This window comes from Homo sapiens, chromosome 2 (assembly GCF_000001405.40).
Source record: "Homo sapiens chromosome 2, GRCh38.p14 Primary Assembly".
Taxonomy (NCBI): Eukaryota; Metazoa; Chordata; class Mammalia; order Primates; family Hominidae; genus Homo; species Homo sapiens.
In genome coordinates, this window is record NC_000002.12 from 152,634,509 (window position 1) to 152,657,835 (window position 23,327).

General features: G+C 40.4%; 2 protein-coding genes across 41 annotated transcripts in view, besides 2 other annotated features; one reads left to right on the forward strand and one right to left on the reverse strand.

Annotated features, from left to right (window-relative positions):
- FMNL2 (formin like 2) overlaps nt 1-15,318 on the forward strand; it is a 314,653-nt gene extending 299,335 nt beyond the window's left edge. For 5 of the 13 annotated variants that reach the window (XM_011510530.2, XM_011510534.2, NM_052905.4 and 2 more), the window contains 5 exons: nt 1,919-2,082; nt 3,065-3,166; nt 5,450-5,548; nt 6,283-6,406; nt 13,288-15,318. In XM_011510530.2, the coding sequence (XP_011508832.1) occupies nt 1,919-2,082; nt 3,065-3,166; nt 5,450-5,548; nt 6,283-6,406; nt 13,288-13,397 (599 nt within the window). In that variant the 3' untranslated portion in view covers nt 13,398-15,318. Of the gene's footprint in view, nt 1-1,918; nt 2,083-3,064; nt 3,167-5,449; nt 5,549-6,282; nt 6,407-10,925; nt 11,020-13,287 lie in introns of all 13 variants that reach the window. The other 8 variants (XM_011510531.2, XM_005246263.3, XM_047443111.1 and 5 more) reach the window with 2 other exon arrangements.
- Nucleotides 11,104-12,303: an enhancer, noted in NCBI's record as "BRD4-independent group 4 enhancer chr2:153502126-153503325 (GRCh37/hg19 assembly coordinates)". NCBI's record gives its function as "activates an origin of replication core promoter dependent on BRD2, P300/CBP, MED14 and CDK7 cofactors, and independent of BRD4, by STARR-seq in HCT116 cells {active_cell/tissue: HCT116}" and the evidence as "EXISTENCE:reporter gene assay evidence [ECO:0000049][PMID:35650434]".
- A 1,905-nt stretch (nt 15,319-17,223) lies between the features above and the next one.
- Nucleotides 17,224-23,327, reverse strand: part of PRPF40A (pre-mRNA processing factor 40A) — a 66,288-nt gene continuing 60,184 nt past the window's right edge. For 26 of the 28 annotated variants that reach the window (NM_001395477.1, NM_001395479.1, NM_001395473.1 and 23 more), the window contains one exon: nt 17,224-21,890. In NM_001395477.1, coding sequence (NP_001382406.1) covers nt 21,798-21,890 — 93 coding nt within the window. In that variant the 3' untranslated portion in view covers nt 17,224-21,797. Of the gene's footprint in view, nt 22,634-23,327 lie in introns of all 28 variants that reach the window. The other 2 variants (XM_047444941.1, XM_011511447.4) reach the window with 1 other exon arrangement.
- Nucleotides 17,405-18,110: an enhancer, noted in NCBI's record as "NANOG hESC enhancer chr2:153508427-153509132 (GRCh37/hg19 assembly coordinates)". NCBI's record gives its function as "activates a minimal SCP1, AML or CMV promoter by ChIP-STARR-seq in naive H9 embryonic stem cells {active_cell/tissue: H9 hESC(naive)}" and the evidence as "EXISTENCE:reporter gene assay evidence [ECO:0000049][PMID:30033119]".

Here is a 23,327-nt window from a genome sequence, read left to right on the forward strand (position 1 = left end):
AAATAAGTTTGTTTATTCCTGTAGTGAAAAAAATCTGTGCTTCTAGATTCAACAACTCTTGGAAAGCATTTTCCGCATCCTGCTGGTTGTGGAAGCATTTTCCCTGCAAAAAGTTGTCGAGATGCTTGAAAAAGTGGTAGTCGGTTGGCAAGAGGTCAGGTGAATATGGCGGATGAGGCAAAGCTTCATAGCCCAATTTGTTCAACTTTTCAAGCGTTGGTTGTGCAATGTGCAGTTGGGTGTTGTCGTGGAGAACTGGACCCTTTCTCTTGACCAATGCTAGCTACAGGCGTTGCTGTTTGGGGTGCATCTCATTGATTTGCTGAGCATACTTCTCAGATGTAATGGTTTCGCTGGAATTCAGAAAGCTGTAGTGGATCAGACCAGCAGCAGACCACCAAATGGTGACCATGACTTCTTTTTTTTTTGATGCAAGTTTGGCTTTGGGAAGTGCTTTGGAGCTGCTTCTTGGTCCAACCACTGAGCTGGTCATTGCTGATTCTCATATAAAATCCATTTTTTGTTGCATGTCATAATCTGATTGAGAAATGGTTCGTTGTGTAGAAGAGGAGAAGATGACACTTGAAAGCAACGATTTTTTAAAAAGTTTTCTCTCAGCTTATAAGGCACCCACTTACCAAGCTTTTTCACCTTTCAAATTTGCTTTAAAAGACTGTAGAATGGTTGATGTTGAGTTCTTCAGCAGCTTCTTGTGTGGTTCCAAGAGGATCAGCTTCGATGATTGCTCTCAGTTGGCCATTGTCAACTTCTGATGGCCGGCCACTAAGCTCTTCATCTTCAAGGCTCTCGTGTCCTTTGCAAAACTTCCTGAACCACCAAATGCATTGCCAAATGCATTGTTGATGTTGCGAGTTGTCTTCACTGCTTTACAACCCGTTTTGAACTCAAATAAGAAAATTGCTTGAATTTGCTTTTTGTCTAACGTCATTTCCGTAGTCTAAAATAAATACAAACAGCAAGTTAATACGTCATTAGCAAAAAAAGTGAGAAGTGTGCATTAAAATGATGTATAACATAACCACATTGATTTAAGAATGTATTCCAATATCAAACAGCAGATTTCAGCAAATACTGCAGTTACTTTTGCACCAATAATTTGTCCACGTGCAGAGTTGAGTCAGGCAAGGGGGCCCAGAGCTGGTACTCAACGTCCTAAAGAAGCTGCTCAGGAGGCTGTGGGGGAGTGCCTGCCCCGGGAGGGGCCACACTGCAGACAGAAAGGTTCACACTAAACCTTGCTGAATAGGGAGGGGTTGTTAGCTGTGCAAGGCTGCTTTGGGTCCTAGTAATCAATACAACCTATGGTCAACCGACAAAAGGCTGCCCCCTGCTGGAGAGTCAGAGAAATGCAAAAAGAGTTGTAATCCCAACACTTTGGAAAGTCGGGGCAGGAGTTTGAAGGTGCAGTGAGCTATGATGGAACCACTGCACTCCAGCCTGGATGACATTGTGAAACCTTGTCTCTAAAACACACAAAACCTTAGGCTTGCTGCAGATAAGGACCTCTGAGCCTACGGGCCCACCCATAGGCTATTCTTGTAAGAGAAATGGAATAGTTTTGTGCAAGTGTGGGATTTAGAGTCCACATTTGTTACCTGAACTCCTCTGCCACCTACTAGCAGTGTGACCAAGGGCAGGCCACAGAACCTCTTTATGCTGCTTTTGCTCATTGACAAAATGAGCTAATGATGCAAATGAACTAGTGCATGCAAAGAATGTAATGTAGTGCTTATAATGCTTCTTTGCATTAAAAGATCTCTGTGCCAAAAGCTGGAAGCTAGGTTTAGGGCCCTTGAGTAAGCCTAAGAATCTCCTGAGAACTTGGCCCAGCAGCCAGATTCGCTGTGGTTGTGACTTCCCCATTGAGTTTCACTGGGATGTTCTTTCTCTGCTTTAGTCTCCCTTGAGAATGTTTTGCTGGATGTCAAGGAGCTCCAGAGGGGAATGGACTTGACCAAGAGAGAGTACACCATGCATGACCATAACACGCTGCTGAAGGAGTTCATCCTCAACAATGAGGGGAAGCTGAAGAAGCTGCAGGATGATGCCAAGATCGCACAGGCAAGTATTGGTGCCCCTGAAACCTGTGAAGAGGCTGCATCCATTAAAGCTGCCTGTGGTGCAGGCCCTGTATTTGGGGAGAAATGTTCCATTTCCCTCTGTTTGTGGAGGGTAGCTTTCTTGTTGTAACTATTATTTATTACGGGGGGACCATTCCCAGGGTTATTCTTGGAAGGGCCCCGTCCTCATTGTCCTTTTCTAATCTGGGGCTCTTTACCCTGTCCCCTCCCCCTCCCCTTTCACTTCAATACTCACTCCAGTGTGGGTGCTGTATTCAGTTCAGCCCACATGCGTCAGGCCTGTGCTCGGCAAAGCAGTGTTTCCTGTGTAGTGGGTTTCTGTAGATCTTGTCCTTGAAAATCTTACACTATACTGGGGGTTGCTGATAGATAGGCAGGCCTGCAAAACAGAATGAACAGTACGCTATCAGAAGAGGCAGAGGCAAAGTTGGGGGATGGGGACTCAGAAAGCAGATTCAGTGGAAGGGCCTCTGGTTTGGGGCAATCTTGTATCATGGAAGAGTTCAGGCAGAGACTGAGTGTCCCCTGTGTGAGGCTGTCATAGGGAGTGTTGAAGCAAGGAAGTGGAATTTAGGGTCAGAGTGACCAAGATCCCTTTTGACCTTGTTGGTTTTAAGGGGTTCTGCCACGGCCTTTGGAAACTCCTGTAAGAAAGATTTCCTTGTTTTGTATGTGGGGTGTGTGCGTGTGCATGCATGCATGTATGCCTGTGTGTAGAAGTGGCAGGAGGTCCTGCAGATGAATTCCTGTGCCCCACTATTGCATTCCTCGGATTGCCTCTGCTGAGGCGTTTGGAGGAAACACGGAGGCGTTAGGCAATCTTGGGAGGTAAGGGAGGTGCAGCAACGCAAGGCCATGGGAGCCTCTGTCTTGTGGCTGCTGCTTTGCATCAGCGTTCCCCCTAGAGCATCCAGTTCAAATGCCTAACTAATGAAACTCAAGAAAAATTTGCTTCTTCACAGGATGCCTTTGATGATGTTGTGAAGTATTTTGGAGAAAACCCCAAGACAACACCACCCTCTGTCTTCTTTCCTGTCTTTGTCCGGTTTGTGAAAGCATATAAGGTATATGTTAAGGCCCTCCTTGCCCTTATTTCTCAAGCAATTGCCCTCCTTGAGATGTGTCTGAGTCCCAACTCTCTGCAGAGGCCTCCCAGTTCCTGTGGACAGCAGATCTGGGTGGCATTCACGAGATAGCAGTCCCTAGCTCTGTGGAGGCTGAGGGACATTATGGTCCCTTTCTCCACCTAGCCAGTCCTCTGCCTCAGCCAGAAAACAAAGCTCTTGGCAGCCCCCTTGGGGCAAGGGAGATGCTCAAAGACATTGCTGCCCCATTGACTGTTCACCTAGGCAGGCAAGGTGAAGTACTTGAAAATCCAGGCCTCTTGTGGAATTCTTTAATGGGTAGAAGTGAGCTGTGGGCTGTGGTGAAGGTGCATGATACAGCTGAAGTTAAGGAGAGCCTGCTTGTGTAAGTCATAGCACAGGGCTTAGGACCTCTTAGACCAGCATTTCTCTAGTATGGACTAAAGGATGGTGCTTTTAAGGATGGGCACTCTCTGTTTCTTTGTGTGGATCAGTAAGTGGCCCTTCCTTTAAATGGGAGGCCCTCTTGGACATAATCCAGGGCTGTGGTCTTGAAAAAGCCTATGACGCAAAGAGACATGTATCAGAAGGATTTGTCCATTTGAGAAATTACAAGAAGGCTGTTAGAAGATTTTAGCTGACCTTGGCAACACCTCAATCTATATCCTCCAGGCGTATCTTCATGTAGCACTGATAACACTGGTGGAGGTAGGAGGAATGTTTATTGCAGAGGGGAGGAGGGATGTGGCAGGGTTCTCCACACTTTTGAGAAGTCCTGTTGGAAATAGGGGGACACTTCCCTAACACCACTAGGGGCTGAAGGCTCTGGAAAATCATTATTGGGCCTTTTACTAAAACTCAGAAAGTCAAAATATTCTTAGCCCATCTTCCCTCAGCATGGCTTAATGTAGCAGTAGAGCTATAAGCTGCTGGTAGAAGGAACGTCTGTGGCAGTCAGGGTGAACAGAAACACAGCACAAACTCCGTGTGCCAGACTCAGGATTTGCTCGTGATGAGAAGGCTGCGGGCCACCAACTGCTGCCGTCTGCAGTGCTTGGTAGCCCAAGCCCACTGGCTGGCTGTGTTTATGTGCTGTAGAGATAGTCTGCGATGGCCCTTGTCATGTGCTGTGCCATTTTTTTCACATAAAAACATGTAAGTCTAAGGTCAAAAGAGAAAATATATTTTAAAATCGGCTAAGACAGGTTGGGAAGTGGCTGGGGTTTGTCTCAAAGCCTGAGGCATCAGCAGGGATATGCGTGGAGCAGAGGAAAAAAGAAGCTGCCCTTGGTGGTCTGGGCTGTGTTGGAGGTCCCAGCCTGTCCATCAGCGTGCTCCTTCCACCTCACTGTTCCTCCCTGTGATTTTTCACAGCTGATTCAGTGAAGCATGTGCCAGGCAGTGATGTGACTGCCAGGATGTTTTTCTTGCCCTATACGTGATGAATAGCCTCCTAGCCTGGCACTCACCTAGGGACTTTGTAGGCAGAGGTTGGGGTTTTAGGACATCATCCCTCTCATATAGACCAAAATGAAAACAAAAGCAATGGAGACCCAAATGTAAACTTTATTACTGATAACAGCTGGGCTGGAGGATGTGGTGTCTGTGACCTTCTGCTTCAGCTGCAAATTAGGTAGATGACCTGTCCATCAGTTCACAGCTTGACAACTAGAGGTCTCTTCGGGGAGGCCGGCTTCAAAAGAAAGAGTGCCCAAGAGGGCTGAGCTGAGGTGAGCCTATTCACTTTCTTCTAGATTCATCAGACTAGTCACACTGCCTTCCTTGGGAAGGAGCAAGGCATGGGAGAGTCCAAGAGTGTCACTCTGGTGAGGCCCCGAAAAGAAATGAGGGTTTTCCCCTAACAATAGGCAGAAGGCAGAAGAATCTTAGATCCTGCTATCAGAGGAACTCTAGGTAGGCAGACTGTCTCTGAAAGGAAAACAAAATCACTGAGCACAGCTGCCAGGATGGTAGGTGCCCACCAGTGTGTGGGACAGAGACTAAGAGAAAGTTCAAACAGGGAGCGATCATCAGGAAAGGACTTCTGGATGAATTGAATCTCAGCTCCCAGCTTTTAAAGAGATGTGACAGGTAGCGAAGCCCAGAAGCAGAGCTAAATACAGGCATAAAGTGTAGATCTTCTCAACCTTCCATTTATTGTAATTCTCAACTCACTAAGGATGCTTGAAGAATGACTTTAAAAAATCTTGGCTGCTCTCATTTCCATTAACATCATCTTTCTGGTTCTTTTGATTTACCCAGCAAGCAGAAGAGGAAAATGAGCTGAGGAAAAAGCAGGAACAAGCTCTCATGGAAAAACTCCTAGAGCAAGAAGCTCTGATGGAGCAGCAGGATCCAAAGGTAAGAAGTGCCGCACTCATGAGACAGGTCCGTGAGGAGAGGCTGAGAGGGCTCTTCAGAGCAAGCCATACAAAGGACCAGCAAGCCAGGTGTGCCCAGGATCCTGACCACTTCCTTCTGGTGCCTGGACACTTGGCAAATGGAAATATGCTCATTGATTACTTTGTTCTGCAACCACTGGAATGAGGCTAAGAGCATGTTTGTGTAGCATATCCAAGCGTATAGACATCTGGAACTTAGTTGGATATACAGAGAGGCCACACCAGATGACCCAGTGACCAGAGGGCTTAGCATCCAGAGAAGGCTTTATGCAGATGCCCATTGGTGCTGGCCTTGATAGCTGGAGGGACTTGCTAGCAGGAATGGAGGGAACATTTCATGGAGGGCAACCTCGTTAGTAGGTAAAGAGCATAAAGGCTGGCAGTCCAAAGTTTTCTTCATTGTGATCCTTGGCAACACAGTTTAAGACATCTATGGTCATTACCAGTTGCCTCTTGTTGCCGTAGACTCCAGCCTTCTTGTTGCTGCCAGGTGAAGTTTTGTGTGTTCGTCAGTGGAAGTTTTTGTTTCCTTCCCAGAAGCTTGAGTTCTCTGCAACTGAGCAGAATGTGGGATGTGTGTGTGTTTTTGGCCGAAGCTGCTTATTAGTAACATAATGCTCAGGCACATTTTGGATTTTCACAAACTCCTAATGGGTGCTGGCCTCACTAATCTCTGCCCTTCTTTCTTCTCAGTCTCCTTCTCATAAATCAAAGAGGCAGCAGCAAGAGTTAATTGCAGAATTAAGAAGACGACAAGTTAAAGATAACAGACATGTATATGAGGGAAAAGATGGTGCCATTGAAGATATTATCACAGGTAAAAGATATTTCTTCACTGTGGCCCATGGAGATCCCACTGGCCTCACCTAGACTGGGATGCATGCAGATTTTGCAGCTTCTTTTGTCCAGGGTTGTCAAGTTCATTAGTTGACTTTATTCACACCCAGAGTGATGCAGAGAGGCTTTGAAGTCCATTTACAGCAGCATGTATACTGCCCCAATACTCTGCATTGGAACCCTGTAAGTTTCAGCAGAGCTCCTTCATTTAAAGGATTTCCATTGTTATTGATATGTCATCATGCTCCATTTTTTTTTTCCTCGTGGCCACACCTAGCCACCTGCCTGATTAATAAACACTGTGGACAAGACCCATTCAGCAATGTACTAATCACAGTCCATGGATGCTCTTTAAGAGCCTCTTTACTCATTCAAAGTAACTGAAGTCAGTAGGTACTTTAATTTGGGTGAGCCAACAGGCTTCCAGCCCAGGGTTGGGAACTGGTTTTATCAGCCAAGAATTGTGTTAACCCAGCCTGGTTCCTGTCTGATTGAATTAGCATAATGCTATCTCCTCGAACCAATTCTCCCAAATTTCTGTACTTCCTTTTACAGATCAGAGTAATAACTTGGGCACTAGTAGGAGAGGCAGCAAGTGACTTTTCCTTCATGTCTGTTGCACATGAATGTTGCTTATAAGCTTCCAGATGCTTATAGCTTTTTATAATGGGACAGTCCAATAATATGCAGATGTACTGAAAATAGTATGATGAGGTCCCATGTATCCCTCATCCATTTCAACAATTACGAACTCATGGCCAATCTTGTTACATGTACACTCTACCTACCCCCATATCCAACCCTTGACAACCAAGACGTAGAATTTCACTTGGAAATATTTCAGTATGTATCTTCAAAAGATAAGGACTCTTAAAAAATAAAAACAAAAACATACTTTACACCATTATCACATCTAAGAATCCCTTAATATCAAATATCTAGTCATTAGTTCACATTTCCCCAACTGTCCTGATTTTTAAAAATAGAATTCCTAGACTCTTGATGTCTCATTTCTTTTTTTTTTTTGATGGAGTCTCATTCTGTTGCCCAGGCTGGAGTGCAGTGGTGCTATCTCAGCTCACTGCAAGCTTTGCCTCCTGGGTTCACACCATTCTTCTGCCTCAGCCTCCCAAGTAGCTGGGACTACAGGCGCCCACCACCACGCCTGGATAATTTTTTGTATTTGTAGTAGAGATGGGGTTTCACCGTGTTAGCCAGGATGGTCTCGATCTCCTGACCTCGTGATCTGCCCGCCTCGGCCACCCAAAGTGCTGGGATTACAGGCGTGAGCCACCATGCCCAGCCTGTCTCATTTCTTGTTATAGCTTAGTGAACATTGTACATTGGGATCCTAAATGGTCAAAACCACAAATTTTTTTCTCAACAGCTCAAACCCAGGGAAATTAAATACATAGGTTAGGTGATTAGGTAGATTAGATAGATTAAAAAGGAAGTCAATAATGAATTCCCTTCCAGATTAAAGCAGTGTAGGTCTTAGATAGTAAGTGGCTGATGAAAATGCCATTCTCTACACATGGCACACACACTCTGCACAAATGTGCCTATTGGTATCTCAGTGTACATAGTGCAGTGGCTTATAGATGCCCCCCAGATAAAACCTTCATTGTAGCACTCTCCTTGCCTCCTCCATGCTGGGGGAGAAACTCCACCCTGAGCAAGACCAGGAGCAGAGCTCCTTCCTAGGTAAGCACTTTTTGGTCTCAGTGCCATAAAATGAAGTTGTAGTTAGGGAAGCATCCAGCCTTGCTCATTAAGAACTTGGAGTTCCTGGCTGGGCGAGGTGGCCCATGCCTGTAATCCTAAGCACTTTGGGAGGGTGAGGCAGGTGGATCACTTGAGATCAGGACTTCGAAACCAGCCTGGCCACATGGTGAAACCCCATCTCTACTAAAAATACAAAAATCTTAGCCAGGCATGGTGGCTGGTGTCTGTAATCCCAGCTACTTGGGAGGCCGAGACAGGAGAATTGCTTGAACCTGGGAGGTGGAAGTTGCAGTGAGCTGAGATCATGCCACTGCACTCCAGCCTGGGCAATAGAGGGAGACTCTGTCTCAAAAAAAAACAAAACAAAACAAACAAAAACCAAAGAACGTGGAGTTCCTTTTTCATTAGTATGTCCTCCATCCCAATTACACCTGGCGTTATAAAATGAATGTACATTTTCTATTTGCTTGATCTAAGTCATTAATCTACTAGAAGAGGGGAATGAGTATCTGTTTATAGGGCAGTTTTTATCCTCCTTGGAGTATTTTTCATTTTCTGATCCACCCCAAAGCCCCAGATAAATTCCTTTGTACCTTTATGAACTAACTTGAGTATATATTGCCTTCCCCCTTTCCTGCCCATCTTCCCCACCCCCATCCCCAGGTATGATTAACAATGCACTAACCATGTACTAATGCAATAGATCTTGGCTTTTTATTCTCTTCTGTTTGTGTTGTTTGGCTGTCATTTTCAATGCAGTGCTGAAGACTGTGCCCTTTACTGCTCGCACCGCCAAGCGTGGCTCTCGGTTTTTCTGCGAACCTGTTCTCACTGAGGAATACCATTACTAAACTATTACTCTTTCTCACCTGATGCTCTTAAAAGGTTGCTACAGGTTTTTTGATGTCTTATGTCCCCCTCTGTGTGTCTGTCAGGGCCCACCAACATGCTAGCATGGAATTGCCATCTCCATCATGTTATATTTTGTGTTGTTCTCATGCTGCATGGTTTTGCATTTCAATTATTATTGCTCACTCACTGGCCACTTTCAATACATGTATGTATTCACATTGCTGTAACAGTCTGGGTGTGTTTGACAGCTGAATTCATAGAATTGTTCACAGAAATTTTCAGAAAAATAGAGCAAAAATATTAAGAGCACTTCTTTGAGAATCAGTATTGGTACCAAGTAGATTGCTTATAAGATTTTTGAGCTAATGTCCTTCAACATATCCATTAATAACAATAACTGCTATACCTAACATGTATTAAGAACTTACTGTGTTCAGGTTGGATGCAGTGGCACACGCCTGTAATTCCAGTACTTTGAGAGGCTGAGGCAAAAGGATCACTTGAGCCCAGGAGTTTGAGACCAGCCTGGGTAACATAGGGAAGCCCCATCTTTACAAAAATCAGCTGGGCATGGTGGTGCACACTTGTAGTCCCAGCTACCCGGGAGGCTGAGGTGGGAGCATTGCTTGAGCCCAGGAGGTGGAGGTTGCAGTGAGTGGAGATCCCACCAATGCACTCCAGCCTCGGCAACAGAGTGAGACCCTGTCTCAAAAAAACAAAAACAAAAAACAAAACATACTGTTCTAAGTAGGTTTACAGATATTAACCTAGCCCTTTTATCCTATACCCAGTTAATATGCTTTGATAGCATAATCACCTGCCATATGAAAGTGCTCAGGAATGCGAAGTGCTCTAAAGTGCAAAATGACTTGCAGAAGGAACTGTGAACTATGCACAGCTGCAAATCAGGCCTTTCTTAACTCTCTTATACGTCCATAGCATGATGGAACTCGTAATATGAGCTTAACACAGGGAGCCCTTTTAACCTAGCTTGTATATGTAGATATAGGCAATCCATAGCTTTATGTCACCCTACTTTAGTAGGCCACCTCTATTCCTTCTGAATGTCATGCCCATGTTCAACTATCAGTAATTCCATGTTGGAGCAAAGCTGTGAGGCAGGACATGAATACAAAGGCTTAGGTCCTCCCACTGTCTTATCTCATTCACGCATCTTCACCGGTAGCTCTGTTCCATGTCAAACCCAGGCTATTTCTTCTGTGATCAGATCATATCTTGACCTGCTTCTTTGGTCAGGATGATGGCACCAGAAATACTAACAGCAAATATCATTGGAAAATGCCACTGTTTTTAAATTGGGGGGGAAAAAAGGGTCAAACTTTTCAAAGTAACCTCCTGGGCACAGTTTTTGATGCCTAATAAGAAACGAACTTCTCTCCAGTGTCTAGTTGATTAGAAAAGAGACAAGGGAAACACATACTCTAATTGGACGTAGCCATTGACTCCTGTGCTGAGATTGACATGGAATTGGGTATGTGTTTATTTTGTGGCATAACTATTCTATGAATTGCACTTATGTATGTTCTTCTATCTCTGATATCAAAGGACATAGAGTGTCATTGCCTGCTCTGCAGTGTACTTACCCACCAGTGCTTATTAACAGGCTAGAAAACTGTCATCTGCTTGGCTGATGTTTGCTGTCAGTTTTGCTGTTGGACTATATCTATCTTTCTGGAGCCAATCTTCAAAGCAGCTTGGAACTGGGTGGTCAGAGAGCTGGGTGGGAAGATGCACTCATCCTTCCCTTATTTGATCTAACATTTCTTGTAGTAATGGCTTCTCATTCTCTTCCTCTGTTGGCTAACATGCCTGGGAATGTTGAGCACTAAGTTGAGTTGCTTTCCATTTTCATCCCATTTTTTCTTAACCATCATTTTGTGTTTTTGTTTTTTTCTGTTTAGCCTTAAAGAAGAATAATATCACTAAATTTCCAAATGTTCACTCGAGGGTAAGGATTTCTTCTAGCACACCGGTGGTGGAGGATACACAGAGCTGGCAAGCATCACTTTTTACTTAGCTTCCTCCTCTCTCTGTATGCAGATCAATGGTTTTCAATCTATGGCTGAGGGTAATACTGGTGAGAATCTGACCAGGGAGTTTTTGTACCTCACATTCCAATGATGCAGGGATTGAGCCTCTCTGTTGGACTCTTTCTCGGCCTGCTTTTAAGTTCTAAGTGTGATGGCTTGGGCAAGGGTATTTGCTGATGATTGTATTTGCTTTGAGTGTTGGGCTGTCCTTCCCTTACCCCTGTCTTGGCCTTTGAGTTACTCAGTTAAACCCATTTTGATCTGAAGCGACTGAAAGCAGGTCCTGGCCAGGTAACATTACAGCCTTTGAAGGATTAAGATCTTTAGAACTAATTGCTCAGAGGATGAAGAACCACAAAGCTGCATATGAGGCAAAAGTGTAATTCTGGCCTTTCATTACCAGTGTGGGCTAGGAAGCAGAGGCTTGAGAGGATTGGGGTATGCAAAACTATTTTTTCCTTAAATTTAAGAGTAGAGGCTGGGCATAGTGGCTCACACCTGTAATCTGTAATCCCAGCACTCTGGGAGGCCGAGGTGGGCAAATCTGTTGAGTTCAAGATCACCCTGGGCAATGAAGCAAAATCCCCATCTCTACAAAAAAAAAAAAACAAACAAACAAAGTTAGCCAGGCATGGTGGCAAATGCCTGTAGCCCAGCTACCTGGGACGCTGAGATGTGTGGATCCCTTGAGCCCAGGAGGTGGATGCTGCAGTGAGCAGAGATCACCACTACACTCGAGCCTCAGTGACAGAGACTGTCCTCCCCTCACAACCCCCGCCCACCCCCCCAGAAAAGAGTAGGGCAGGGTCACACAAATTCCAATGAGTCAAGGAGCCAGGAAGGTAACAGGCCTGGTAGGAACTGTGCTGAACCTAGAGCACAGATCTTAGCTCCAACTTCTTTTTGCTGTGTAGGAACTGGGGCCCGGTTTTGCCAGATCTTCCAGTTTTTCAAAAGAAGCCAGAAACCCTGGTCTTTATGTTAATTACCAATTTAAACACCAGGAAACTGTACATGTGCGGGGGGTGGGGGGGCACAGTGGAGCAAACATTCTGTGGGTCAAATGTGGTCCATCAGCTGCATTTTCAACTTGTTGAGTAGATAAAGGGATACAAAAGATTCAATTTGGTTTAATTCTGTTATTTGTTTGTATTTCCCTTTCTAAAGATAGCATGTATTCTAGCAGAAGTCAACAATACTAAGTTAATGAAAGGGAAGTAAATACTAATTAAACAGGAAAAGTATAAAGCCTGCTTTACTTTTTTCACTATGCCCTGACTTCATCAAAGGGAGGCTGCATAGCCTAGCCTGCTGGCTAGCTACCTGACTTACTCAAGAAAGCATGCCTTCATACTGAGTTCTTGTATAAAATTCCTCTGCTCCTCCCACTTCATCCTGACAGAGCAATGCCTATTTGGACTGGTATGCAGTGATTGACTCATTCATTTAACAAGGATTTTCTTATGCAGGAGGGCCCACACAACTACTTCTTGCTGACGTAACATAAAAAATATTGGGTGGTAGAGCTCGGTAGTCCCCACTTCTCAGGAGGCTGAGGTGGGAGAATCGCTTGAGACTGGTTCAAGTCTGGCCTGGACAACATAACAAGACCCCATTTCTTAAAAAAAATAGGTGGCAGAAAAGGATGCCAGGGAATAGATTATTATTTTGGTTTAGATTTAATGGTTAATTGAACATCATTTTGTTTAAAATTTACAAAATAATAAACTCAGCTAGCTTAATGGAATGAAAATAATAGAGCCCTTATCTGCAAACTGAAGGTCTTTAGGTTCTTGTTAAAACTGCGAGGAAAAGATGGGACAGGACAGTCTGCTTTATTAATTTTGCAGTTTAAAATTTATTGCAGTTACTATTTATTCATTCAGGCTTCCAGAATAAAAACAAAACAAAAAAATTAAGCTACAGCTGCTTCTAATTTAAGAAACATTTCAAAATAAGACTTCAGCTAGACTCTGGCCAGTGACAGAAATAATCTATGTATTTTTCTCTCAAAGTCCTAGAATCCTACCAGTATTACATCCTGTTTTGTTTGATTGTAAATATTGAAGGCAAATGTTTTATGTCTTTGATTCAATGCTCAGTGAGTTTGAAGGGCCCATTAGCTGACTTTTCTACACAAGCTGCTTTGATTGGCTGCCAGCTGGCCTTTGTCCTGCTTAGACACATGCTATTAAAGGTTGCTATTCTCTCACTGGCACTCTCCCCTTTACAGATCTTAGAAACCAACCATACAGACGAGCCGATGCGGTGAGGAGAAGCGTCAGGCGGCGCTTTGATGATCAGAACTTGCGTTCTGTTAATGGTGCCGAAATAACAATGTGAACCTGAGACTGGCCTGCATGAATACAGGGTGTGCGTGAATGAAACTGCCCACATGAACTTTATGTGCTACGATTTAACTGCAGCCTTGAACACACACAAAAATATTCTTAAGGGCTCAGATTTAGCAAACACGGAAGAATTTTAAAATGAGCTCTCCTTTCAACCCTTGTTAACAAGTGCCTAAAAATGGAAGTACCTGTTCAGATTAATCAAAGCAATAGGATTTGATTTGATTAGGTATCTTTTTACACCAGTATGTTATTTTTAACCAAAATGTAAAGTTCTTATTAAACTCATTACCTGCCATTGTGATTGTCCCATCATGGCCCACCTGGTTTCCTGATGTTGTAAATAACATCAATGCATCTGCTGTGGGTCCTTTGCTGAGATGTCTTCGAAGGAATTTTGTTTTAGCCATATCCATCAACTTTGTATTTTACTTGCAATTTGGAAGAAGGAAAGTCACATGATGAAACTCCTTTTGTCTATAACCAGGCCCTGGCAAAGTGCAAACAGGATGCAACTGCAGTGGCACAAAGGTCACTCAATCCTTTGTTTCCAGTTTCACATTCTACTACTTCTGCGCTAGAGAACGATGCTCTGTGAGAGGCATTCACTAGTATGAATGTGGGGATATAGTGTATAAGACTTATTTGCAGTACTGTGTTCTTCAGCTAGAGGCAGCTTTTTAAATAATGCAAGTGTATTTATTAGCATTAAAATTAACATCTCAGTAATCAGCATTAGCATTTCTGAGGACCATTATTAATTCTGAGAACAGAAATTGGTGCCTTGCAAGGAAGTTTACTAGCTCTATCAACAAGCATTCAAGGTTACATCTGCTAGCAGAGTAGTGTTAGGAACCTGGCCTTACTCTCCTCTGACAATCGCAATTTTTTCTTATTTTTTATAAATTCAAGAAGATACACTTGGCATCGTGTATCGAGGCTAAGTTTTTCATGCATTTCCCAGACTACTTATGGAGAATTGCAGTTTAAGTTGCTGAAAAGTATTAACATGGTATTAAGCTTAAATAATACGTAATGGGACTAGATGGCCCACTAAGCCACTGTTATTTTCCTTCCTCTCTGGCAGGGCACTTGATCCATTCCAAAGTCAAAAACTGGACTGAAGCTAAATTTGTACTTTTCATAATATACATTCTGCTTCTGGCTTATCTTCTTGGTACATCAATATATTAATTGTAAAGTTTATTGTATAGTATTTAACCGCTGAAGTTCCTATTTTATGTTGTGCTTATGTGAACCCCTTGGTGAAGGTCCCTTTTCCTTGGATGTGTAGTTATATGATCTTTTTAAATGTACAGATATTTTGCTATAAAATCGGTGCAGTTTTTTATGGTTTTTACACTTCTCTTTAATTCCCACCTAAGCCTCTGGGTAATATTGTAAATATTGTTTTAAAATGCATCAGCCTATGCTATACAATCTGAATGTTATTTTAACTTATAGTTTTTTTTAATATATATATTTAACTATAAGGACAGTTTAGGGAACAAGTTACCTACCACATTTCACTTTAGTGTACCTATTTACAGAAAGATTAAACTGCCACCTGCGGGCACATTCCCATAAATGTGTACTTTACTTTAAAAAGAACATGCCACGATTTTGTCTTTCTGTGGACTCAACATTCACTTCGATTAAAAATAGCAATTTGACCAAGTTGGACTTCCACTACAAAGCAGCTGTTTTCCAAAGTTCAATGCTGACATATATGTATATTAAAATAATTGCCTATTTATTAATCTACAAATAGACAACGTTGGCATGTTCTTTTCTGTTTGTCTATTAATGGGCCTGCTTCTTAGCAATATTAGAATGTTTTATAAAAGCAATTCATGTTACTTTTCTGGTCTTTTCATGGCATATGAGCAAATAATAAACTATTTACACTACTATTCTGTAATATGTTGTAATCTTTCAATGGTACAATTTAGGGGGTTTTAGCAATATTATGTAGACTTACCTTCTAGAAACAAATATATCTTGCTATTTGAACTCAGAATCCAAATATACTTGGTAAACGTCAGGAAGGATTCCTCCCTATGTGAACTCTTGACCGCTTGCTATATAAAACATAGACAATGGATCTTGGAAGTGAGACTACATCTCCAAAATTGCATTTATAAACATACACCTTCTAGGTAAACAGCACCTTTGTTTGGTGAAATGCCACAACGCCCCCAGCAGCCCCACCAAATGTTACAATTAGGATGTTGTACAAATAAAGATAATAGGCTATATATTAACTGCATAGTTAACCCTGCACCCAATAACCATACCAGTTGGCAAGGCAAACAAGCAGTTTGGCCCCCATTGCACAAACAGTTGTAATAAAACTCCCAGTCATCAAAAGTTTATGTGTAACATTTCATATGTTCTTTTTATGGAAACAAGAAAAATTTTAAATTTTAGAATACCTTTCAAGTGGCTTAAATTTAGAGGCATATATATTATAGTCATTTAAGGAATTATAATTTATATAATTATTGTCACAACTACCACAGCGTACTTTGCATTTGTCACACACAACTGCTTACAGATTAAAGGCAATAATCTTTATTCCTCACAAGAAGCCTGTGAGGTATTTAACACTGTTGTGCACATTGGGAAACTGACTCAGCAAACTGACTTGCCCAGGGTGCAATCTAATAAATGCCTATAATAAAGCCTTAGGTCTTTTGTTCGCAATTCAGTGCACTTTCCACTAAACCAGTTATACAATGTGTTAGAAGCTTTATTTTATGAGAGAAAAAGTCTTGCGATCAGTAAGGATCTCTACTTTTGTTTTACCATCAGACTGGTGCCTAATGGTAAAAGAAAAATCTTTTAATATTCCACAAATTCAGAATGTTTTCAAACTCAACTACAGCAGTTAAGTTCAAATGAGGCAGATAGAGTAACATTCATCTTTCTTTTAAAAGGTATTTACCAATGACTTTGAATTAAATACTCACGTTCCCCACTCCCCATCATCTAACACTGAAATTCACTGCAGTGCCCAGTGGCCATCCTGACTCAACTCTGCTCTCAATAGAATAGGGCTTGATACCCATCACTGACTCTGCTTTGGTTCAACATACTGGAATCTTCTCTGTAGAATAAGGTGATTTTACACTGGAAAATAAATAGATGATACATTTCTTATACTCGCTCCATAATCCACATTTTGTTTGTTAGACAAGGTCTGGCTCTATCACCTAGGATGGAATGCAGTGGTACAATCTCGGCTCAGGGCAACCTCTGCCTCTTGGGCTCAAGCCATCCTCCCACTTCAGCCTCCCGAGTAGCTGGGACTGTAGATACGCACAACCACACCTGGCTAATTTTTCTAGAAATAGGGTTTTGCCGTGTTGCCCAGGCTGGTCTCAAACTCCTGAGCTCAAGTGATCTGCCTGCCTCATCCTCCCCAAGTGTTGGGATTACAGGCACAAACCATTGTGCCCAGCCACACATACCTATTTAATGTTTGATAACTCTTCTTAACCCTAATATATTTCCTAATTTTTATCAGAAATGTCTCCAAAGATGAATTTATCAGATTTCATCAAAAGGATTTGTTTTCCATTTCTTTTTAAACTAACAGCCCATCTATGCCCAAGAAAAATCTGAAGAAACAAACATGTACGTGAAATCAGTGATGGGTTTTTTTTTTTTTTTTAAGTCTTTTTATCAAGAAAAAGAGGAATTACACTGAGAAAACATAACGTGGGCCTCCAGCAACTCTCACAGCATAGAGCTTGCTGCCTGAGTGGTGCTTAAAGGAAAAAACTGACACAAATCCAATTTAGTAAAAGATACCATTTTTTCTAATAAATTATATTTATTTACAAAAGGTCTAATTTTATATAACTATGAGGTTCTTTTACATCAGAATAATATATAAACAGAGGTGAAAATCTGGTAATTACAAACACAGAAAATAGAAACCTTGTTCCCTTATTTATTACTCACCTTTCAGAACAAGTCCTTGGCTCAGTTGTAGAGGTGGGGAAGACCAACACCTACCGAAGTTTGCAGGCAGGAGCCCCCAAAAATGTTTATAAATAACACATTTAGATACCCTAAGGAACAGCAGTGAAGAATAGCATCAAGGAATGGCTTAGTTTGAATCTGATCTAATTCACCAGCCACTCACTGTTTCATTGTCCACGACTAGGGGCAGGGAGGATTAGCCAGTATGAATGTCAACTTTACAAGTAGGGTAATTACCATCAAATTAACAATTACCAATCACTAGCACTGAGATGGCTTTGAACTAGATCCTACTGAGAATCACAAAAGCAGTTTTGATAGTCTTAAGCTATTATAGCTAAGTGTCTTAAAATGGAGGGTTAGGGAGAATGTGTGGGTAATTAGAGCAAAATCATCTCTCACTTTCCACCTCACCTTTAAGACAGCTCCAAAAAACTGAGTGCCTGACATGTCACCATATTTCAGCCCTATTCAAAAATAGCCCAAAATGATGAGTTTTCAACTTTAAATTGTATGTTCTCACAAGTTTTGGACATGTCTGAAGTAAAAGCTAAGGTACAGTCACTGGACCTTATTTTGGGTGCACTTCAATTATGACTGTGACTTTAGTGGTGGGTTAGTATGGTTTATTGCAATGATGCTTTTTTAAGCCCTTTAATACAGATGATGGGTACCATGGATGCCAGATGAATACATATTTCAACTAGTATTTTACATTCATTCCAAAAGTGCCTATTATATGCCAGGCACTGTCCTATTCCACAAGGATATATAACAGTAAATGAACCAGATAAATCCCTGCCACCGAGGAACTTACATGACCACCAGTTAAAATCAAAACAATTGGAAGAGTAATGTAAGAATAAGGATGGTAAGAATCATCAGACTGGTATACGCCATTACCAGAAGCACAGAATGAGATTATAAGCCTGTTAGAACACAGTTCCATGAAAGTAACGACATTATTTTGCTTTCATGTAAAATGAGTGTAATTTTATATAGAGAATGTAGGATGGTTGAATTAACATCTACCTAACACTGAGAGAAATATATACCCAAGGGAAAATAAAAAGTCTCAGATTTAAGATAGAAGGAATTAATGTACTTTGCTTCATTTTGTTTAGAAAGTTTTAAAAGCTGAAGTTTTTTAGTTTGATAATTTATATTTAAATTACATAATATACTTAAATATCCTTTTTTAAAAAAGCATTCATCACTCCTCCCTGGGTACTATGTGATTACAAATAGTTTTCTCTTACATAGCATCTAAGCTTAAAAAAAAAAATCTTCATATAAAGGGAGTTACTCCTTTCTGGATGCAAAAATACGAGTGGCTGCATAGCCAGCACTCAGCTGACTCTAAGACCAGAAGAAAACCGGGAACATTTAGACAAATGTTTTTTAAAGCATATAACCAAATTATATAATTGAATGAAAACTGAATTACACAGTTTGAAAACTTTCCAGAAAAATGCACACAGGTTTTTTTCTAGGAGTTTTTACAGTTTCTTCATCCTACCATTAACTGATTCCCTTACTTTAGGACAATCCTTTTTCATGTTATAGTTGTACGAAGTGAGGCCCATAAGCAAAAGTCAAAAGATGACAAAGCTGTGACAAATCATTATCAAATTTACTGGGAGGCATAAAATGCACTTTTGAAGTTGGAAAACATCAATAACTTATATGCTGAAGCTACTCTGGCTAATGATAACAAAATGCCAGCTACTATGCTGAAAAAAATGTGGTGGGACCACTGCTTTTATTTAAAAGCATTACATTATTTAAATTCACTTAGGAAGAGTGTATACTTCATACTTGATTAGCTTAATTATCTAACTTTTCATACAAATTCAATTTTCGCACAAAGAAATATGAACTGGGAGAAAAAAATATTTAAAGTCCTGATTTTGAATAACTATGATATTAAATGTATAAGTGAATTTGATCTAATAGTTCATTAGTATTAATGACACTGGGGGAAGACAAACCCTCAACATTTTCCTAAGACTCCAAGACTTTAATGAAAAGTATAAATTCCCCTTATCTGAAAATAAACACGCTTTCCTGTTTTACCATATTTAACTCTAATAGAACCAATATTCCAAGACGTTTCAGTTTTTTACCAAATTGAAGATTTAAAAACATAACCTATTAGTTTAAAAATATTCACAGAGAACAAAATCTTATCACCTGTGCCTTCAGACTGTCAAGTATCTTTCTAGCAACTAAATCCCATTTGATGGGATCCTGAAAGGTAGACAAAGGATCACAGTCACTTAAGTTACATCTTTTATGGCAAGGATGTTGCATTTTGAATTGCAATTGGCTTACTACTATGGTTGTTTTTAAGTCAAATAATTTTCATGGGTGAACTACAGGGAAACTTTATACTGTGTTGTAGGGATTTGCGGTTATAGTAAGATTATCTCTGTAAGAAATACAGGAATCTATTTTGAGGACATGCTAAAACACATCAATAGCTTTTTATTTAAATAGAAAAATCAAAACTTTAAAGTTATACTTTAGAAATAATTCATGGAAGTAATTAATGTTTTCTACAGATTCTAAGATTCTTTTGTGAAACATCAGTAGTATATATTTGCCAGTATCAAATGCATACTTTAAAGATTTGCCACTGACTTCCATGTCAAGTGATTGACATGATTAGCAATATTAACTCACTACAATGGGACCTCTGAAAATTGAGTCTAGACAACTCCCTGTTGCCAAAGTTATTATGTGTTTTGGCTCTAATATACAATAGGAGACTAATCTCAAGCAATTTGATTACTTCACATTTTCTCCAAGATGAGTCTTCCTACAAGCCTGGTCATATTTCACAGCAGAAAAATGACTTGGGAGACAAAATGAGAAACAATCCCCTCACCCACCCCTTCAGCCTTTAAAGAGTAGACATTATATTTAATTCAAACGGGGCAAAATGGGAAAGAGACATTCTGGTCAGGCCCACTTTCAAAACTCACTAGGATGGGTAAGAAAAAAACTTTTTGTTCTTCAAAATCCCAACTTTGAAATAGGATCTCTTCAAGTGTACACATTAAAAGAATAACACAGATAATACCGAAGAATAGGTGCTAAAATTTACTTATTTACTTAAAAAATCTCCTGCACTGAAGGAAAATAGTATAAATTACATTACCAACCTTCAAAAGTTAGCATGTAAAGAGTATTCTGTCTTCAAACCACAGCCTCTCTAAAATAGTCTGTAAAAAATTCATAGGTGAAAAACAAATCTAGGGACCTCAAATGCACTGATTTATAATATTCTTAAATATTAAAAAAGGAAAGTAAACTAGCGGTGTGGGTAAGATGAAGCAAAATTTCAGGGATTTAGTACCTTTAAAGTGATCATACAATTTCTTTAGAGCTGAGCAGTTTAAGTAGAAATAAATACTAGTACACACTAGAAGAGAAGGTTTAATAATTGATAAAAATGTACAAAAATATTCAAATCAGAAATGCTTTAGAATGTGTACCACGAAGTCAATACTTCTCAGTGAGTAGGGAAGGCAAAATACTTCCTCAATAGCAGGGAAAAAAAAGCAAGAGAAAGACTGAATTTAGAAAAAAAAGACAACTGTTAAAGAAAATGTTTAAGTCAACTTTTTTTTTTTTTTTAGACAAGGATATTGCAACTATCACTTAAAGTCTGGTGGCACATTCTTTAGTAGGTCCTTAAGGCAATATATTTAAATTAATTTACAATTTGATTTGATGTTAAAGTTTTTTTAAACATCACCTCAAAATAGATGCTCAAAATAATGCCCTCACAATAGCCTTTGTAAAATGTATTCAGATGTTTGATAAAAAATAATGGTGGCTTTATATTACAGTAGTGCTCATTAGCACCACTATAATTAAGGGTCTACCAAGTTTCCAGCAAAACCACCTGTTTCTTAGGAGTTTCACCATAAAAGATCACATTGGCTTTAACCAGTTGGGTAGCGCACAAAAAAGCAATTTTTATCAGTTGCTGGTGCTTTTTTTGTACTACTATATTATCAAAAAATTTTTCATTAGATCTTCAAAATCCAGCTTCTATAAAGTAAATCAAATCACCTCATGACTTAGATTTTAGAACAAAGTAGAGACATCTGCAGTTATCAGTAAATTGCCACCTTTAATCCATCCTACAGTGCCCTGTGAAAGGGTCACAGAAAGACAGTTATGACTGTATGAAAATATGATTCTTGATACAGAATCAAAAGTTACTTTCAATTTCCTTTGCTTTTATAAAGTCCACGATAACAATACTTAAATGCACTTTTTTTTTCCTGTGATATAATTAAAACCCAGTGTTATTTCAGTTGAACTTAAAATAGAGTCCCTGGTCTGAATCAGACTTTAAATCATACTGTAAACATATATTTGGTATAATTTATTGATCATCATCCAGTTGCTCCAAAAGGGTTCTTCTGCGCTTTTCCAATTCCCCTTCACTCAGTTCGCTGCCAGAAGTATCCCAATTACCCTGAAAAGACATTGATTACAATTATAGTTGACATCAGTACTCAGAGGTTTACGGGCTGAGCCTTTGAAAAAAGAATCCAATATCTATATAAACTCTCTTCCAAAGAAACACATTTCACAGGGTTTAAAGACTGTGTGAATATGAAGCAATATTTCCATTTAATGGAAGCCAGGTATTCATTTCCTAGATAATACATTCCTTGCTAATTTTTTTGTTGAGACAGAGTCTTGTTCTTGTCACCCAGGCTGGAGTGCAGTGGCACGATCTCGGCTCTCTGCAACCTCTGCCTCCTGGGTTCAAGCAATTCTCCTGCCTCAGCCTCCTGAGTAGCTGGGATTACAGGTGCCTGCCACCAAGCCCGGCTCATTTTTGTATTTTTAGTAGAGATGGGGTTTTGCCATGTTGGCCAGGCTGGTCTCGACTCCTGACCTCGTGATCTGCCCACCTCGGCCTCCCAAAGGGCTAGGATCACAGGTGTGAGCCACTGCACCTGGCCTATTCCTTGCTAATTTTGTAGCTTCCCCCTGGTTCCACAAGTATTATCACAGAAACAGAAGTAGTATGCTTTAAGCATATGGATTCCTGTGCCAAATAAATACACAAGACTAATGAGCAGGACAAGATTTAGGCTGAACAAACAAAAATAATACTGCACCGTAAGACACAACCTTTGAAAAGTGGATAGTTCCCATATCGTCCTCTTTCATTCACTCCAGGGATTTCATTTAACCCACCATAAGCTGCTAGAAAGTACAAAGGAAACATTCACTCTTCACTTACGATGTGACTCAGACTCACCTGTTTCAGCTCTAAAAAAAAACCCACCCTATACCAACGAATCAGAATATCCAGAGATCCCTAATAGGGTTTTACCTACATAGTTTATGCTCTCCAGTGATGATTCATAGGCATTTACCCTTGCTAAACCCACAGCATTTGCATTATTAGGCTCTGTCATTCATATATACATATATTTGAAAAGGACTAATTATGTAATCTGTTATTGAAATACTAACTTTGGCTTATATTCTCCTCTCCTATTTATTTGCCCTTCCTCCACCCCAAATCAGTATTTCTAAAAGTTACTGGAATTGCTACCTTTTGAAACAAAGGATTTAATAACAGTGACAACTGTAGACATCTGTAGAATCCCAGATTTAGTCTCTCACTTAAAAAAAAAATTTGAAAATTAGGTAAAAAATGTCCAGTGGCACTTCTTAGTGACCATATCCTTTCTTAGTGAGTTAATAAGGCTATAGTTATGAAATGCTATATTTAAAAAATATCAAATTTAGGAGAATAAAATCTAGGATCATGCATGACCAAAAACTATGATATTGTGTGAAATGTACTTAACTGAATTTTCACTGTTTTCTTCAATGGTAGCACACCTGGAAAAAAGCCTATTCTTTCAACACCATCATGGTTTAACCACAG